This window comes from Homo sapiens, chromosome 4 (assembly GCF_000001405.40).
Source record: "Homo sapiens chromosome 4, GRCh38.p14 Primary Assembly".
NCBI lineage: Eukaryota > Metazoa > Chordata > Mammalia > Primates > Hominidae > Homo > Homo sapiens.
The window spans coordinates 107,257,506-107,277,647 of record NC_000004.12 but is presented as its reverse complement, the minus strand read 5'-3'; the positions used below and the strand labels follow the sequence as shown (position 1 = coordinate 107,277,647).

The 20,142-nt window shown below is 37.7% G+C and overlaps 1 long non-coding RNA gene across 1 annotated transcript in view, besides 1 other annotated feature; it reads right to left on the bottom strand.

Annotated features, from left to right (window-relative positions):
* LOC102725220 (uncharacterized) overlaps positions 1-19,074 on the bottom strand; it is a 43,302-nt gene extending 24,228 nt beyond the window's left edge. Inside the window, exon 1 of the long non-coding RNA NR_188365.1 lies at positions 18,774-19,074. This is a non-coding gene — a long non-coding RNA (uncharacterized LOC102725220). The remainder of the gene's footprint in view (positions 1-18,773) is intronic.
* Positions 8,187-8,746: an enhancer, noted in NCBI's record as "H3K27ac-H3K4me1 hESC enhancer chr4:108190059-108190618 (GRCh37/hg19 assembly coordinates)". NCBI's record gives its function as "activates a minimal SCP1, AML or CMV promoter by ChIP-STARR-seq in naive H9 embryonic stem cells {active_cell/tissue: H9 hESC(naive)}" and the evidence as "EXISTENCE:reporter gene assay evidence [ECO:0000049][PMID:30033119]".
* Positions 19,075-20,142: the final 1,068 nt, after the last annotated feature.

Sequence of the window (20,142 nt, the reverse complement as noted above, 5' to 3'; positions counted from 1 at the left end):
CAGATAAGAATAAGTAAAGACTAAGATGACTAAAACCCCCTGGACAAGATTATTTGTTCTGAAATCATTAAAACCAATGGCTATATATTCAGTAAAATGATGATTCCTTTTATTACTAACAAATAGAAATAAAACTTTGTCAAATTTTTCTTCATCTCATTATTTTCAGCCAGTGTCTCAGTTCTTGAGTCACTTGTTCATAACCCGATCCAGTGTATTTCTAAATTGCTGCTACTGTACCATGGTGATAAGAATAATTAAAGTGATATTATTCCTTCCCTGGAGAAATAAAATGTGCCAGTTTTTAATACCTGTGTGATTATCACAGCAAGATTGTCAAACACACATAAGACATAAGATTTAGATGGACAGGCATATACACATTTATTGTTCAATAAAAATGCATATTCTACATATATATTATATTTTATTGTATATATAATCTTTTCCACTTGGTATATGCCCTTTTAAAATTGTAGGGGAGAACCTAAGGCAATTATGTTAATGTAGAAAGATAAACATGAGTATTAATATTAGTCTACCTATAAAGCAAGTTCTTTGAAATATGAAATTTATTGGTGAAGATATTTTTGGCTTATAGATATGAGATAACATATTTATTTGAATTTAATCTCAATTGGGGCACAAGTTTAGCTAAATTTTCATATTACCTGTTATAGAAGGAAAGGGGAAATATTAAACATGAAAATTATAAAGATTACAATTCTAATTGTCGTGTTCTTAAGCTAGCACAATGGGGCGGGGATGCAGTCCTCCACTGAAAACATTCTGGAATTCAAACAGTTGCCTTGAAGCATATTATGTATGCTATATCACAACATCAGAAACATAAATCTTGATAAAGGTCAGTTGACCTGCTTTCTATTCCTTTCTTTCCTTTAAGATATTTATTCTCTGTGGTTCCACTATTTAAATACAAGCTATTCTGACCACTAATGGTAATGACTGAAATAAGTATTTTATTTATTTTTTCCTCTGTCACAGTCCATTTAAAGTTCTCCTTATAATACTCCAACAAATTCTGTTACTTCATTCTTATACAGCCCTCTCCTATTTTTCTAAATGCTCAAATACTAAACCACGACCACCTGGAAGCTGCATAATTCTATGAAGGTCAAAAATATTCAGTTATTTCCCCAAAGTAAAACAGCCTTTATTGTAACCAATTCTTACATTCTTCTTCCTATAATAGAGATTTACTACCCAAAGAAATTAATAGCCCAATGTGGGGGGAAAGAATTCACATTTATTGAAAATTACTTTATGTTAGGCATTTCACATGCTATTGCATTTCAATATTTCAATGGTCCTGTAAGATGAAACTCAGAAAGTTCAAGTAATTGCAAAACTTATGAGTAGTTGAGCTGATTTGACAACTTGATAAATCCACTTGACTCTAAAACCCATGCTTTGACCAGCATAAAGCCTGTGGCTTATAAAAGAAAAGAACCACTGATGCTTGAAAACATACTCAACAGAATTGAGAAACACATACCTTGATTTTGAGTTTGTATGTACAGTCTGAGAAATGACTTCAAAGTTGACTTGCATTTTTGTTCTTGAAACATATAGAGAAGCGTTTCTTAAGCTTTTTTTTTCATTATCACTCCCCTAAAGAGACTTTTAGACATTTTTCCTGAAGATTACTTCCCTGTCCCATGAAAATTTAAAACCACAGATATAGTGTATATCCTATTATGTACTGTGACTCTTTGGAGGACCACAAAACATTGTAATAAGAATGTACACCCCTTTGGGTGAGACGTTTAGACTACAGGGCATTGATGATTGCTATAATATCCCCTCCCTCCTCCTAGCTCATTACTAGGTTATTTACAGGAGCAGGCAGAGTGGAGCAAGCACAGCTCTGGACCTGAACAAATCCTGCCTAGATTCTGGTCCTGTCATTTGTTCCTTTTGGGAGGTAGGGCAAGTGACTGGCTCTCTGAGCCGAGTTTGCTCTTTAAGAAAATGGATTTATAATTCCTAACTTAAGAAGTTGTTGTGAGAGTGAAAAATGATGGCATCTTTAACATACCTAGCAGGAGACAACAGAGTTCTCAAAAAGGGAGGTCTTTTCCTTTCCTTCTGGAGATATCACTAGACTCTGTTTTCTGGGAAAAGGTCTTAGAGTAATAGTCTAGAATCTGGAAAACTTAAGATCTGACACAAACTCTACTAACTAGACATGGTTTTTCTCTCTGTAACATGACAGGGCTCATTGCTAAGTGTCATTTTAAGCTTTATAATCTGTGGTTTTGTAATACCATAGTAGGCCCTCCAACATAAAATGATTAATCACATTTAAATTTTTTGTTGGCACTTTTAATCTCTATGCCAAAAGTTTTGTGACAATGTTTTCCCCCTTCACACATCCTTCAGGCCTTGAATATTAAGAGTTAAGAACCACATGCAGCAATGAGTGACACCAGTTGGACTAATAAGAATACATGTTATTTGGACTGGAAACTGTATTTAGTGATTTCCTCAGGATCATTCTTCTGGAAATATAGATGAAAGAAACATAGCCATGTTTCTAATTTAACTTTATTTCTATTAATAGCTATTATAGAGTAGACACATACATGATATTAGATGACAGCTTATTTTAAGGAATAAAAACCAGTTTTCAAGGTAATGATTTTTCTCCATATACGAAAGTGTTAACATTAGTTAGAATTCAGTGCACAACAGAAAGAGGCAAACTTTGAATGAGCAAGCAACTTGATCATTGACAGTGTGATTATGCCTCCCGGGGAACACTAAAGAGCTAGCTTAAGTAGGATAGCAAAGAAAAAACACGGAGAAACATGGAGATAGTTTAAAGATTCTCTGGGATTGTGGAATTATTTGGAATTATTTCAGACAAACAAAAATGTGTAAATAACACTTTAATGAGCAGCCATGTATTCACAAGTAGTTATCCAAAGAAAATGTTACAGATCCTGTTGAAATCCCTCACGTGCCTTTTCCTAATTATACTCTCCTCCTTTTCCTGTTTAGATATATATTCTCCTGAGTTTGGTACTTGTTATTCACATGCATTTCTTTCTTTCTTTTTTTTTTTTGCATGTACATATCTCTCTTAGCAATAAATTGAGTCATATTGCATGCTTTACATTCATAAGGTAGATATCACAATACATGTATTTTTCTGAAATTTGCTGTATGTCACCCAGTGTTGTGTTTACAAGATTTACTTTATCTTTGAATGTTTTATTTTGAATAGCTAAGTGATTTTCTGTAATGATATATTCTTTTACATTAAATCATGTTATTATTACTTTTATCAATAAATAATTGATTTGATTCACATTTAGTTGCATGTTTATAAGCCACTTTCAAGGTGACGGGCTTTTAAATCTCTTTTGAAATAATTCATTCTGAAGTACAATCCATCTATTCATTTATTTATTGGTAAAATGATATTTAAAAAACTTTCTAGCCTGTGACAATGCTAGGTATTAAAAATACACTGGTGAGCAAAACAGACGTTGTTCTTCTTTTTATGTACCTTACAGTCTAATGTATAGACAAGTCTTAAATTAACACCAATAATAATATATGATTCACTGAACAGAAATCTATTGATCACCTTGTATGAATTTAAACAGTGAATCAAACAAAAAATATCTGATGTTGCAGAACCTACATTCTAATTGGGTGGTTGTGGGAGAGTGGGGCAGGCATATAGTAAGTGAGATAAGCTTAAAGTAATATAATTAAAAATTATATAATTAATTAAATATTTTAATTAAGAAATCTGTAAGCCGGGCATGGTGGCTCACACCTGTAATTCCAGCACTTTGGGAGGCTGAGGTGGGAGGATCACTTGAGGTCAGGAGTTCAAGATCAGTCCAGTCAGCATGGTGAAACCCTGTCTCTACTAAAAATACAAAAATTAGCTGTGCATGGTGGCGCATGCCTGTAGTCCCAGCTACTTGGGAGGCTGAGGCAGGATAATCGCTTGAACCTGGGAGGTAGAGCTTCCAGTGAGCCGAGATTTTGCCACTGCACTCCAGCCTGGGCCACAGAAAAAAAAAAAAATCTCAAAATAAATAAATAAAAGGAAATAAAAAAAATATAAAGTATGTTTAAAGGTGATATATGCTATGGGGTAAAATAAATGGAGTTAGAGCCAGGCTAGGCAGTAAGGGAAAGCTGTAGTTTTAAATATACTGATCACAGTATATTAGTTCTCACTGAGAAGGTGATGTTTGAGTAAATATATGGAGAATGTGAACAGAGGTGAAAGACTGAGCAATGTGGAGATGCATATGGAGCAATCCAGGCAAAGGGAGCAGCATGTACAAAACCGAGATTGTAGTAGTGACTGTCAAAGGATAACAGAGTGACAGGAAAAGCAGTAGGGAATGATGCCAGAAAGGCAAGAAGAGTGGTGATATAGGAATTATTATTATTATTATTATTGGTTTTTTGGCCATTGTAAGGACTTTGGTTTTTACTTGGCGTGAGAGGTAAAAATCACTGGAAGGTTTTGAGTAGACAGGTGGCATGATCTGACTTCTGTTTAAATCAGATCACTGTGCAAGCTATGTTGAAAATTGAATGAATTGGGCATCACAGCAGAAGCAGGGAGGCCAGTTAGGAGGCTTATGGAATAATCCCATTGAGGGATCATGGTGGCTGGAACCAGGGTAGCATCATGGAGGGAGGGAGATGTAGCTGTCTTCTGGACCTATTTTGATGGTAGACCCTACAAGATTGCTAGTAGGTTGACATGGTGTAAGAGACAAAAAGAGGAGTTGAGAATGACTGCAAACTTTTTAGTGTGAGCAACTGGAGAGATGGTTTTGCTATTTTCTTAGATGGGAAACTTGGTTTGGGATATATTAAGATGCTTACTGGGTCATCCAAAATGAGATATAGAGTTGGCAGTTGGATATAAAAGAATGAGTTTATGTATATATTTAGCTTGTATTAATTTGTAAGGACTGCGATAATGAAGTGCCACAGCCTGGGTGGCTTAAATAACAAAAATTTATTTCCTCACAGTTCTGGAGTCTAGAAGTCTGAGATAAAGGTGTTTGTAGGGTTGGTTTTTTCTCAGGCATCTCTCCTTGGCTTGTAGATGGCTGTCTTCTCCCTGTGTCCATAATTTTCCCTCTGTGTCCTAATATCTTCTTAAAAGGACACTAATATTAGAATAGGGCGCACCCTAATGGCCTCATTTTAACTTAATTACCTCTTTAAAGACCCTATCCCTAAATACAGTCACATTCTGAAGTGCTGGAGGTTAGGTCTTCAACATAGGAATTTTGGAAGGGCAGCACATTTGAGCCCATAACATGGCTCATGGTCTTGAGAGACATGTGACTGATTGAGATTGTCAAGGGAATGTGTTTGAAAAAAAAGAAAAAGGGAAAAGATCCATGTACCAAACCCAGGGGGACTTCATTCAGAAGTCAGAATTAGAGAAACCAGTTAAGAATTTTGAAAAGGAGCAAACAATAAGTTGAGAGGAATATCCGGAAAGAAAAGGGTGGTGGCCAGGCGAGGTGGTTCATGCCTGTAATCCCAGCACTTTGGGAGGCTGAGGTGGGTGGATCACCTGAGGTCAGAAGTTCAAGACCAGCCTGGTCCACATGGTGAAACCCCATCTCTACTAAATATATAAAAATTAGCCGGGCATGGTGGCAGTCGCCTGTAATCCCAGCTACTTGGGAGGGTGAGACAGGAGAATTGTTTGAACCCAGGAGGCGGAGGTTGCAGTGAGCCGAGATTGTGCCATTGCGCTCCAGCCTGGGCAACAAGAGCAAAATCTTCATCTAAAAAAAAAAATAGAGAAAGAAAAGGGTGGTGTCCAGAGAGCTGAATAGAGAAAGTGTTTCAAGGTAGAAGTGATCAACTGTATCAAGTGTTTCAGATAAGTCAAATAAGAAGAATATTGAGAATAGACCAATATATGTTGGATTTAGCAACATGGAAACTTAGGAAAACCTTGAAAATAACAGTTTTTGTGGAGTAGGTGAGAATCTGATGAGTTTCTTATTCCTGGCAAGAACAGTTAGGTGCATGGAAGGTAACTTGGAAAGACTGGGAAGACTGAAGAAGAAACAGATTAGTAGGAGTAGTCATGAGTTTAATTTTAGATGTAGGTTTTTTTTTGAGATTTTGTGAGACATTTGTATGGTTAAACATGCTTTACTTCTAGGGATCTTTGAATTAAAAAAAACAGTTTATAGAACTTTGCTAGGTTTACTTGAAATAAAGCTAAAGCATGAATAGTAGGCATTTCAGAAGCTTGGAAAGTCATTAGGGGAGTGAGATTAGGGACCTAAATCCTACCCCACAAGCAACTGTCTTTAAGTAAGTCTATTATTATAAGTAAGGCCATTTTTTCCCAAGAAACATTTATAAGGAGAAAAGAAAGAAAGAAACAAAGTTACAGTGATGTTGGGGTAGAAGAGAAGATCCTTCTGATGCAAATTCCTATTGTATTAAAGATTATGGGAATTTACTTTCTTGAAAAGTCGGTACTTTATTATGGAAAAAATATCTTGAAAAATCTAGAGATTGACAGAATTTAGTGTTCCCCCATCTGTGTTGTCATGGTACTAACGGCAGCGCAGGCTGTCTGGAGTGACCACTGCCATCACACTGGCTGCAGTGGGGAGACACAAGCTGTGGCCACAGAAGTGGTTGTGGGAGCAGCAGTGGTGGCTGTGGGTCCCCTCTGCGCCATACCCCTGGAAGGCAGCTGACTGCACCATTCCGACCCTTGCATGGCCAGACAGGACCTACTCCCAGTCTTGGGGCCTCTGCTGTGGCTCAACCTCACTCCTCACTGCATCCCAGGGTCCCATGAGACCTGGCTGAAGGCACAGCAAGGACTTGCAGGGCTGGCCCTGGGAGCATCAGGTTCATTTGTGTGGGGTTGGCCGGGGCCACCACACCACCTGCTCCTTGCCTACTGCCCAGGGATCCTCTGGGATGGAGCTGGGCCAAGTTGCCCACTGGAGTGGGAGCAGTGTGTTCAGGCACAGAGGGGAGGGTAGAGAGGGCCCAGAGGCAGAGATGGGCTTGAGGTGGTTTCGTGTTCCATGGAGCCAGTGGGAGCTGGGAGCGGGCAGGAGGTCTGCCCTCCCAGGCAAGGCTGCATCTGCACAAGTTGTGGCTGCAGCCCCAGGTGCCTCTGGACTCTTAGGGACCTGGAAAGGCCCCCACTTTGCCCCTTCAAGCTTGGAGGTGTCTTCTCCTGCTGCCTTGCATCTCCCCACTGTCAGCACCCTGTCATCTCAACCCTCTCTGTACTTTGGGCATCAATGATTATGAGAGGGAGGCTGAAGGGGTGCCAAGTGCAGCTTGGTGCTGGCCTGCAGGCTCCACTTGGCACAAACAGCCTGGGCACCATGAACAGTGGCAGGAGGCAGACAGGCTCCTGGATGGAAGAGGGTGGGTCCTGGGTGAAGCTCCACCTTCAAGCAGGGGGGAGGGCCTGAAGCCTGAGGGCTGGGCTGTCAGACCCTCGACCCGAGTGGGAACTTGTGGTGCCTTTTTTGGCCCCACCCATGGCTGCCCATGGACCAGTCAGCACACACTTCTTCTCCTCTGAGGCCCATAAAAACCCTGAACTCAGCCAGATTCAAGAAGATGACACACGGCCAGCTGCAGAGAGGAACAACTCTCTCTGCTGAGAGCTGGACACTTGTTGGGAGGACCTGCCTAGCAGAGAGGAGCTACCCTCTCTGCTGATACCTGAGCACTCACTGGGACACCCTGGTTACAGAGAGGAGCTGCCTACTGTAGGTGTCCTCTCAGCTGTACAATTGCTCAATAAAGCTCCTCTTTGTCTTGCTCACCCTCCACTTGTCTGCGTACCTCATTCTTCTTGGATACAGGACAAGAATTCGGGACCCGCTGAATGGTGGGGCTAAAAGATCTATCAAACAAACAGGGCTGAAACATGCCCCTTGCCCACCACATTGCAGGTGACAAGGAGAGAAGGGAGAAGGAATGAAGAGCTGTGGCCCTGCAGGGAGCCCAGATCTAGGTGCTTGCTGAACCTGGGCTGTGACATTCTCTTTAGGGTGCTGTGATTCCTGGTATCTCCAAGCTTCTGGGTGCCACACCACATTCCCTGGTGTCAGCCATGGAAGCTGCTTATGGTATGCCTTGACCAGTCACAGCTTCGCAGGCAGCTGGCACCCAGGGCAGCTGGAGTCTAGAGCTGCCCACCTCACCTCAGCTAGCATGCCTGGCTTGTGCAGTTGCCAGACCCCAGGCTCGCTTACACACCCCTTGCCACTCTGCCTGGCTGACCCTTGGCAGGTGTGGGATCCAGGCTGGTAGCAGAAACTGAGTGCAGCCTGCCAGACTGAGTGGGCAGAAGAAGCCCAGTGGGCCAGAGCAAAACTTGGGCAAAGGTGCCACTGGCTACAGAGGACTTGGGCAAAGGTGCCACTGGCTAGAGAGGTTTCCAGCTGGTGAAACAACACCCCAAGGATCCTGTAACAGTACCTTGTAAAAATTACTGCCTGAGCATTTATCACACCCTGCCATATTGCAATTATTTATTTACACATCTGTCTTCTCTATCAAATTGTGTTTTGTTTTTTTTTTTTTGTTTTTTTTTTTTAGACAGAGTCTCACTCTGTCACCAGGCTGGAGTGCAGTGGTGTGATGTCAGCTCACTGAAACCTCCGCCTCCTGGATTCAGGCAATTCTCCTGCCCCAGCCTCCCAAGTAGCTGGGACTACAGGCACCTGCCACCATGCGCAGCTAATTTTTGTATTTTTAGTAGAGATGGTGTTTCACCATGTTGGCCAGGATGATCTTGATCTCTTGATCTCGTGATCCACCTTGGCCTCCCAAAGTGCTAGCATTACAGGCATGAGCTACCGCGCCTGGCCAAAATTGTTCTCTTTGAGGAAGGACATGGATGTTATTAATTTACTTGTCATTATTACCAAAAATGGTGCTGAATGTATAGTCAGCACTCAATAAATGCATACTGCATGAATCAAATCAGTTAAGAAAAAACTGATGTGACATTCCACTAGATAGAGTTAAGTTGGAGATACCAGACATGTGTATGATCTGTGTTTTTAATAGAAGGTGATGGTAGATGTATGGCTATGGACATCAATTGTTTGCTGGTCTGGCATTGTGAAAATGTGTTCAAATGTCTTTGTGGTAATAACCTCTTGCTGTTATCATGCAGTATATCATAATTTCCAGGAACATTATATTATCACTGACTTTTTAAATACCCTGATGTACTGTAGAATATATGTCTAAGAATAAATTGTATATCTGAACTAATCTGAATTCAGGGGCAGAGTGGGTTAGGACATTTTCTCCCTGAGAAGAGGGAGAATTTGTTGGCAAGTTCACATGAAAAAAATTCTATTTCTCAAATGAAATAATCCCACCTGCAAATGAAATCCACTATTGTTATGTGCTATTTGTTAAACACAAGCTGTGTCCTCAGTATTAAAAAAAAAGAAAACAAAACAAAACACCCAAAACACACCCTGGAGGACTATATGATCCATGCCTCAGGGCTTAACAATCCACACCTGGCACAGCATGCAATTCATACATGGCAAAAGCAGAAAAAGTGATTGCATCTCAGAAGCATCAGTCTCTTAGAGATTAGTTTTTTAAATGGCTACAGAGGACTTCCATGAAACATTTTGCTTAAAAAATTTTATGAAAATGAAAAAATTTCAGGAGGAATATTAGAAGAGGAGAGAGGCAGTCAAATGACAGATTGCTAGTTTGGCCTGATCCTAGGGTGAACTCAGGTGCTTACCTATGGGAAGAAGATACTGGTGAGTAAATAATTAATTTAGGTAAAGTAAAGACACATGTATTCATAGACCAATTTTAGATACTGACTTTTTAATATATTTTTGATATGAATCTTCATTGTAATAATGGACTCATTGTCATGAGCTTCAATACTTATGAAAATAAGTGTGATAAAATCTTAAACATAAGAAAATTAAGTAAAGTAAACCTAGAGAAAAAATATCCCTTAAACTTCATCAAACTTTAATGCAGGTTTAAGTGATTCAAATGCAATGACAGAATGTGTAAGAGGTTACAGACAAATAGCAGAAGATTTGGATTAGATATACAAAAGGCTAATGGTGTTTCTGGAAAACAGCGGGATACTGGAAAACATTTGCTAAGGATGTTGGGCTCAGGGAGGCTTAGGGAGAGAAATGTGCACCTGAAATTGTTTCCAAAGAACATAGATCAGACAATAGACTGAGAGGCTGAATCTGGCATTTTCTTCATGAGCTTTTATAGGTTAGAAGAAGAAATGACAGATTATCTGAAAAAGTGTGCACAAACTATAGCACATATTATTGACTTCATCTCTACTTTGCACACTCAGGAACTCACCATTATAGAGCACTCTCATACTGTCAAGTTTTGAGCTTGATGCTTTTCTCTTTAACAATGTCTTTCCTGATTACTTTTTTCCTCCCAATTTGTAATATCCAAGGAGTTTGTTGCTCATCAACAACATGCTAGACACTCAATACAGAAACGTCCAAAGAGCCATTCCAACTTAGTAGAACCCTGACCTGTAATGGTCACCATATGTCACTATTTGAATGCTACTTCCTGGGACCACCCTAGGCTCCTAGACTTGGCTTCTGCTCTGCCTCTGCTCTGCCTCTTTCATTCTGAATTACCCCTGCTGTCTGCAGTCTTCTCTTTAAATACAGAGCTAGGATATGGAAAGAAACATTGATAGGATGAATTCATAATATCTATTATCAGCTGGGTCACTCCTGCTATACTTTAAAAATATGTAGTTATTTACTCTTTAGAGAACTTCAAACCATTTTTCCTGAGCCTTTACCACCATCAAACTCCCAATTGTCACATTCTGTCTCTTCTGCTGCAGGAGACCCAGCCCTCTTTTCTACAAATTCAAGTGCCACAAAATGAACTCTCAAATCTAATATTGTTTGCATGTTGACTTTTCTCTTTCTAGATTATCTCCTTTCCCTTCAGTTTAGAGAACAAGTTTTTCTTGTTACTCTAAATCTCTCCACCTGTATTCTAAAGACTTTCCCCACCTGGGGAATTACAATTATAAAAGCTGGGAAAACAGCTTTTAAACCTCTCACCAGTGCCTCCAATATTTATTTTCTTTACTGTATGAGCTCGTGTTCAATCAAAGAAGCAGAAAAACTAGGATGTAATTTTTAAATAGGTTTTACCTTATGTCACTGTGGGAGATGGTTGGGTTGAGTAGTCTTTGTATGGCTTTCATCTTCTTGTCTGAAGCGGGAGCTTGAACTCCACAAGGTAGACAATCAGAAAGGGAAGATGGAATTAAGGTGGGGAGAATAAAAACAAGCCAGGAAATATGAGTATGAGCTGTAGTTCATGAGGATTGACCAAAACCTGTGTTCGTGTTTTTTTCCTCTAACCTTGGTGGCACGTCCTGCAGAGGCTTTGCCCAGAAGTCAGAGAAGCTGAGGGAGTATCCACGGCAAGGTGGAGAAGTCACAGGGCTGGCCTCTGCCTCGTGTCATCTGATAAGTGACATGTACAGCTGCTGCTTCACTTCCGTCATCCAAATTTCCCATAAGAATCTTTATTGTGGTCTACCTTAACCAAACAAATATGGGAAAGGGAATTCTGGGAAATGTAGTTTTTCAGCAATCTGACATATTACAAAGCCACTGCAATCTGCCTTTGCCAACTTGTCACTCATACACTTCTCCTTAAACTACATTTTAAACTCAGCGTAAAGACCCTAACATATTCATGCCTCTGTTTAATATGATACAACTATCCCATGTACAACTGATTACTTGCCAACCAGTTTTCAAGATCCATCTCTCTGCTGCACAGGCCAAATATGTGAGTTGAATGTGGATATGGTAGGAATGACTACCCTTTCATCTCTCAAGTCCGCCACGGGACTAATCTCTGCAATTCCTCCAGGAATGTGCTGTTGTTCCTGGTTTACACTGTTGTAGGTAAAGGCATATCCAGTAGCTTTCACTTGACCTTTCTTACCATTATAGACCTTGTTGCACGTATCAGGAAAACAATGTGTGGATTCTTCTAATTGCTGAATATATTTATCCCAATTATGCATTCTGTATCTGAAAAAATAACCACAGGGGACCCAGGGACCTACTATGAGATGGACTTGAGCTAAAACTTCACTAATCACTGAACTCCAAAAGCCCCTAGTCTCACTGGTGGACCACAGTGACAGTGATATTTTGGGTTTCTAGGAATTAGTGTCAGTTCAGAGCCAAGGCCTAATAATCCCCCCAGATCTTATTATTTCTCCTTCCCCAATGCAGAATCACACTGTAACTGGCTCAAGGGGTCCTAGATTACTTTCATTTCAAGGCCTCTGGGTCTGTGAACTGGCTCAAAACTGGGAATTCATTGAAGAACTGTACCTCTTTGTTTTCACCATTTAAGTCAGACTTTAGTTCGCTAGACTTAGAGCTTCTCTGCTTAAGCAAATCAAATAAGATTTTAGCAGGCTATTTTAGCAGGCTGTTTTTACTTCAGTTCTAAGAACATCATGATCAACTATAATAGCTAATGTCAAACATCTTTGTAAGTCAGACTATTCTGGTTAGTGCTTTGGCTCTACGGTCCATTAGAGTAATAACACCCACCTTGCCTTTGGAAAATCGGTGCTCCCCTTAGCACCTGCCCACCTGGAAACTCATTATTCTCATCATATTTAGAGATCTCAGTGTGATGATAGTGGTCTCCAGTGTAATTTCTGGCCTTCAGGGGTGAGCCATTACAGGATGCTGAAGCTCATTTGTTCCTGAAAGCCATGGTGAAGGTCATGTTCTCTGGAACCTCATGAGGTAGGTGAGCAGATCAGTCATGATAAACTCCTTCTAAGATTCCAATCTCCCTAAGCCATTGGATACCTTCCTCTATAGCAGGTGTCAGCAAACTACAGTGTTAAGGCAAATCCAGCCTACTGCTTATTTTGTAGATAGATGTTTGTAATTTTGTATTTTGTAAATAGGTGTTTCGTAAATAGATGTAAATGTTTATTGTAACATATTCATGCTCATTCATTTACATATTTTCTATATCTTCTTTCATGCTACAATGGCAGAATTGAATTGTCACAACAGAAACAATGTGGCCCACAAAAGAGAAAAAATTACATTCCGAAAAATATTTTCTGACCCCTGCTCTACTTCTATGAAGGAAGTTCTGGGATATCAACTTCATTTAATGTACACTACCTTTTTATTATGCACCAGTTAATCAACCAAGCAAATTATACAGCCATTCCTAGCCCCTCATGCTACTATATCAAATCTGAAATCTCTATTTCAATAAATTTATTCTCATATCAATAAATTTATTCTGACTTTTAGGCCTTCCACTTTGATCTCATAAACTTAAGATGCATTCTAATACATATTGCCTGGGCCTCTGTCAATATACATTAAAAAAATCATGCAGTTCTTTTGATGTGTATGCCAAATTATAGGTCACATTTTGTAAATCACACTTTTGGTCTTGCTGGGACCTGATTCTGGTTATAGGTCTGGAAGAAAGGAAAGGGATACTCTGAGGAGAATCAGCAGATAAGTGACAAAATGTGTGAGTTATAAATGGCTGTTATTTTACTTTGGTGCCCCAAATATTTTGTAGGAATCCTTCTTGTGACCCACCCTGCATGAAAACAGAAAAGGGGATTCTGGGAAATGTAGTTCAACCTAGACAAGTTGGTACATTATGAAGCTACCATAGCAGACATTAATAGTTCACTCAGGCATTAAAAGGTCATGACAATATAACATATTTTGGCTTTTCTCTTCTCTCTAGCCCTTCTCTTCCTTCCTTCCTTCCTTCCTTCCTTACTTCCTTCCTCTCTTCCTCTCTCCTTCCCTCCCTCCCTCCCTCTTCCTTCCTTCTTTCATTTTTTTAACTGCTTCTTTTTTTGTGTTGCTGGATGTTTTGCTTTAACTGTATTTATTTCTCTTTACCTCTTTGCCTTCTACTTTGCTACTCTAATGAAATCTTTCTCTGGAAATATTAGGCTATTAATCTAAGATTTGCCAAGTCCTTTTTTTCTTTGACATTCTGCCATATTTGACACACTTGGTTAAACCTTCTATTTCTAATATATTTCCTGAATTGACTCTTTCTTTGTGGTTTTCTTAAATCTTTGGTTACATTCTTCGTTCATTTTCTTTTTCTCTTCCTCCAGTTTTGACTATTTCCTAAAAATGAATTCAGGTCCTAAAGTTCCTTATTACAATTTAGGAGTATTCATCAATTCTCAAAATTTTTATGATTACCTCTTAATTAGAGATCCCCAATCTATAATTTTAGACTTGTCCATTTATTTAATTTTGAACTGTCTCCTGTATAAAACCAATGGATAATTTGTCATAATCTCCAATCTAGCTATAATGACTCTCTTTAAGATGAATGCTGCACAATGAAAGTTTTGGTTTATAGTTATATCTCTGTAGTAGATGCTCAACAAATATTTGCTGAATCAATGAAGAAATGTGCAAACTCTTCAAGTGTAGAAGTTAGAATATTATTTCTTTCAGTAGCCAACCTCAATTTTCTAAACCTCTTTTAATACCACATTTTCCCAGATACCCATTCTTATAAATGGCATCATTTTTGACATCCAAGAGGGAATTATCAATAGATGAAAAGGTAGATATTTGAGTAGTTACCTTTACCTACGTTGGATTTAAAAATACTAAGAAATGTAGTCTAGAAAGTTTTTGTTGGTTTTCCTTTCCTACACAATGGAGAGAATCATATAATGGCATTTTGAGGAAGGCATTGTGTACAGTAGTTTAGATCACACACTCTGTTTCCAGACTACCTTAGTTCAAAATCAAAATCTGACATTTACTAATTCAAGTTTCTCACCTCTCTGGTGCCATAGTTTTCTTGTCTGTAAAATGGAGGTAATAAAAATAGTACCTGATTCACAAGTTTCTTGTGAGGATTAAATGGGTTAACAGTTGTGAAGCAGTTAGAAAAATACCTGATGCAGAGTATTGTGAAAATGTTATTATTTTGTAATTCTAGAGGACTGGAGCACCTGGAAATAAAGTATTATTTTAATGCACCTCACAAAAGCATTGGTTTTAGATCTTCTTCATAAACAAAATCTCCTTCCTGACTTTTTTGTTAGAATTGTTGAGTAATTATATGAAATATCACTTAATCCAGCATATTTTACTATTCTTCCGAAGGCTTTTCTAACTCAAACATTTTAAGTTACTCATTAAAACTACATTTTCCAATTTATAAAATCATGATCAGAACAAATAACATCAGATTTACCCTCTAGGTAATTTTTAAGGATATAATACATTATCGTTGATTATAAGTATAAGGGTGTACAGAAAATCTTTGTAGGCCTTCTCATTATTTAAACAATTCTTTCATGCAAGAATGTTTGTGTATACATGCACATATGTATATATGTATATGTGTATATATATCACACATTTGTATATATGTGTAAATATGTAGATATGTGTGCTATTAGATATAGAAAGTCATACATATATGACTTCCAATCAGACCTAAAACTGACTTTAAATGTAAAATGAAATTCTGCGTTTGACCTATCTTACCACTACTACCAGCTTAACTGGAATCATATGGATTAAACAGTTTCTATTTTAAATCTTTGCACACTTAACACATTTAATAGAATACTCATTAGCTTTAAAGAAGGGAAGAAAATCCTGGGTGTTTTGTTACAATTTTGTATTTGCTCTTACCACAGAAACAACTTATGTTTAGGTCCTATTTCACATTTGAATTTTGTGTTTCTAATATCAAATGAATGCAACTCAGAGTTTGGTTAAGTAAAGCAACACTCATATTTGAAGATGTTCATTGTGGTTTAAGGATTTTTATGACACATGTCAACATATATCTTCATTCAACAGCAGTTGATGATACTTATGTCATTGTTATGTAAATTATGTGGTTGCTGGAAGATGAACATCTTTGGTTCATCTTGACTGGTGGCCAGTGAGATCAGAACTGTTCCATTAATCGAAGAAAGCATGTACACGTGAACTTTTTGCCTTGATTGTTTTTTCTAGTTTTACAACTATGAAATATAGTAATTAGTTATTCCAAGATGTGCCTTTCAGGAAGATTACTGCCTCAGGTTGTGGAAGTCCTATAACATTTGGCTGAGAAACAGTTGTGTAATCCCTCAGGAATGTTCTGCATCTTGTATCGGGATACTTTGGAAAGGAGTTGATCTACCTTGAAATGTAGATTTACTTGTATGAGCCATAAATTCAGTCTTGTCTCAAATCTCAATTCAGATAAACAATGAAAAAAGAATGAACAGTGGGTTAAGTACATTTTGATAGTCTTTTTTTTTTTAAAAAAGTTTGTGAATAAGCAATGTTTTGGTGAGAAAGTTTATCTGGCAAAAGATAGGATAGACATTTGAATGTGAAATGATTGCTTATTCACCACTTCTCAAATGGTTTCATGTTGTTTATATTTTGGAAGAAAGTCTTCCTTAATAAAAAAAGTATATTGACCACCATGTACAAGTGACACAATATGTGTGCTCTATAAATAGTATTTTTTTTTTTTTTTTTTTGCTGTTACTGTGTGTTTATTCTTCACGAGTTGGTGTATTCTTCAAACAGACCATGGTTGTTTTTCTGCACCTTTAATTCTGTCGCTGATACTCAACTATTCCTCTTCTTCTTCCACTCTCTCTGTCATTCCTGTCCCTCTCAACCCAAATAGCTCTTAAATTGCATTCTGTCCATTTAGCTTTCGCCGAGTTGGAATATTTATTTTCTCATCCTCTTACCTAATAATATCTAGTCCAGCAAATGTATTCTGTTTTTAATTCCATTGGCCTCAGATGAGAAATTTTCTCTACAATTTTTAATCTCGAAGCCCCTGTTATCGTTTCCAATACATTTCCCATTCCTTCTCCATTTTCTTTACGGCTTTATTTTCTACTAAAGGCACTTTTTGAGATTTGTCTGAAATAGGCGTATAATAAACATTGTCTAATTTTGTGATTCCTATTTCCATCTGCTTTTCTTCCCATCTTTGTTTCAATAAAACAGGATTGAACAAATTGGGAAATCAAAATGCTCTAGTTTTCTTGGTACATGTGTTTTGTCTAATAGTGTTAAGAAAGTCAATGTCTGCCCAACTATTTGAATTATTCCTAAAGCAAACTAGCAAAAAATTTCTTGAGGAAGAATGGCTTTGTAAGATGTAGTCCCATCTTCTACCAGAGGCAGAATGTGAGCGTCTAATAAATAATGGCTATGTCTAATTCATCCTTGAATTTCACTCCAGTACCTAATACAGAGCCTTACATATCGTAGATAGCCTGAAAACTGGAAAAACGAATAAATTGGTTAATTTTTCCTGGTCTGGGGCGTTATAATGGACTGAAAAACTAGTTCTGCTAAATAAATAATAAACTAGATTGACTCTACAATATTTCTCTTTACCAAGGGTGAATTGCATGTCTTCTTTATAGCATATTTCCTTGTCATAGTCTAGTCAGTATCAATATCTGAAATTTCCACATGGTTTATAGCATTGTGCTGTGAAGTAAAACTGTCATTAACTTAGAGATGATGTCCTGATTGCTAGACCAGGAAAATGATGAAATATTTCTATAAACCAGACCAATTATATCTGTCTTTGGCGATCTAAATATTAAAACTGAAAAATATTTACCCAACAGCTAAAGAATGAGAGTTAGGCTGAACATCCTAGCATATATTTGATTTCTATTGAAGTAATCACTAATTTTAAACAATGAAGACCCCAGGACAGCTAGGAATAACTTTAAATTTAATTTGAAACCCCACATAACAGACTGTACTGCCAGCTATTGCAATGAAAATTTACTTAGGTTTTTTTTTCCTCAGAAAGCTTTTACTTAAACAGGACATCTTCCTGTCTTGTGAGATTATTTCAATAGGAATATGCATAGCTATTGTTCAATCAATGAAGTTCCTGGTTTTATTTTTCTTGTGAATTGTTGATGACAGTATCCAGCAATGTTAGTGTTAGGTTTCTCCAATTCTGAAATTGCCTAGAATATAAACTTCTATAATTTAGTGAATTGAAGGAAGAAAATACATATTTTCATCCCCAGTGGACTTCAGTGTGAATCCTAAACCAGGCTTAGTTTAGAATTCTTAAATGCCATTTTATAGGCCACATTTTAGCTTTAAGTCAAATGTTTACATGTAGCTCTACAAAGATTTTCTACTAATTAAGTAGTACTTCATGAGAATAACAGCATTCTAGTGCTATTTATTTATTATTAGTGATAGTATGCTGATATTCAATAATAATTGTTCCAGTTTATAAATTCTTCTTCCTATTTTTAAGGTAGGCTACACTGCCAATCCCAGCAGAGAATGTTGAATTGTTTATCCAAAAATACTGGGGGTGTAATAAAATAATATAATTATGGTGTCTTACCATATCTAACTTGCAACCAGTATTCTGAATTTAAATGGGCACAATACCAATTATAGTCTATGTGAATGTCACTCTCATCTCCTCTCCATCGTAACATAGAATACAGTGGGAAAGGTTCCCTTTGGCTGTGCAAAGGGGAAATATTTTAACCAAAAAGATATATAGAAAAGGCTTTATAATGAACATGCAATTAGCAGTGATGAACTTACACATTTTGTGACATATTCATTAGGTAGTACTTTTACTAAACGTAATATTTATCACAAAAAGTAATGTACCTTTTGAGGAAATGCCAGTCTATCAGCTCTTCAAAGCTTGCTGTTCAGATCACTTACAAAAGTGGGCAGTATCCACAAGTCTACTTGTCCTTGTATCTGATTAAACCAAAGTAAAGACATTCTCTTTCCATATCTGGACATCTCTGAGTAAGAAAATGTGATTATTAATATTCATTTGGGGCCATGTGAAAGGGTGAAGAAAATCAGAGAAAGAGGACAGAAACAACCCATTGTTTTCCAGCCCCAAGGTCTCCTGAGCCTGAGGTAAGGAGCCAAGGAGTGGGTCACAGCAGAGTAGCTGATTATGAGGGCTGGGATGGATCACTGGATAGACAGGAAATGATGAAGCCTGGCTGGATCCCAATAGAAAAACCACAGGAGAAAACTGATGCTGGTACTGATGTTGTTGAGAAGGGCAGAAAGCAAAGCAGCTGCACAGAGAAAAACAGTGCCCCTCCCCAGTCGGAAACTGCGGATACATTTCATTTTAGCATTAGTTCCTGAAACATTGGTTATGATTACCATAAGGTTGTACACAGTTCAGAAGTTATTCAGAAGAGAAGCATGGGAGTATTTGATTCTCAAAAAGGAGACTGTGTCTACTGGGGGGCTTGGAGACGGAAGTGGAAACAAATATAGATCAGCTACTTGTGTTTTAATGAGTGAAGAAAATCCCACAAGGTAGTTTTAAAAATCAAATATTTTGAAAGAATTTCAGGATTCCCTGGATAAGTAGATATATTGGCTTATTTACTTCCTACTTGTATCAATTATTTCAAAAACTGAATTCTAATATGTTAAGTTTTGCTACATCTGAACAAAACTGGATGCAATTACAGCAACAATTATGATATTTTATTGTATTTAGATAGATATGAAAGAAAATCTCTATGGTACAAGGCCAGGCAGAGCTACTCTGTGCTGTTAAACATCAGGATAGTAATTAACTTTGGGAGAGAAGTGACAGTGAGGAAGCAGGTAAGTGACTGAGATATTGAGACTATTCTACCTTTTAGTCTGGATGTTTTGTTACATGGGTAGGTTCAGCTTGTGACAGTTTATGCAGTGCTAAACATAAACTTTTTTATATTTTATATTTTAATAAAATATTTTTAAACAAACAAACAACTCTAGGAAGGAAAGATTTAGGAATTAATCACTTTGGGAAAATGACTTCACAATGTTTAAATACATGAAATAATATGGGCAGAAGTTATTCAAATCAAAAGTTATTTAACCAATTGCTATCTATCCTTCCTAGTAACAGAGTATTGAGGGTTTGTTTCTCCTTTCCAAATAAATTGATCTAACGAAGCAATGTAAGGGTGGCCTGAGTGTGACATTAGGTGATACATAAGTGTGTGTGTAT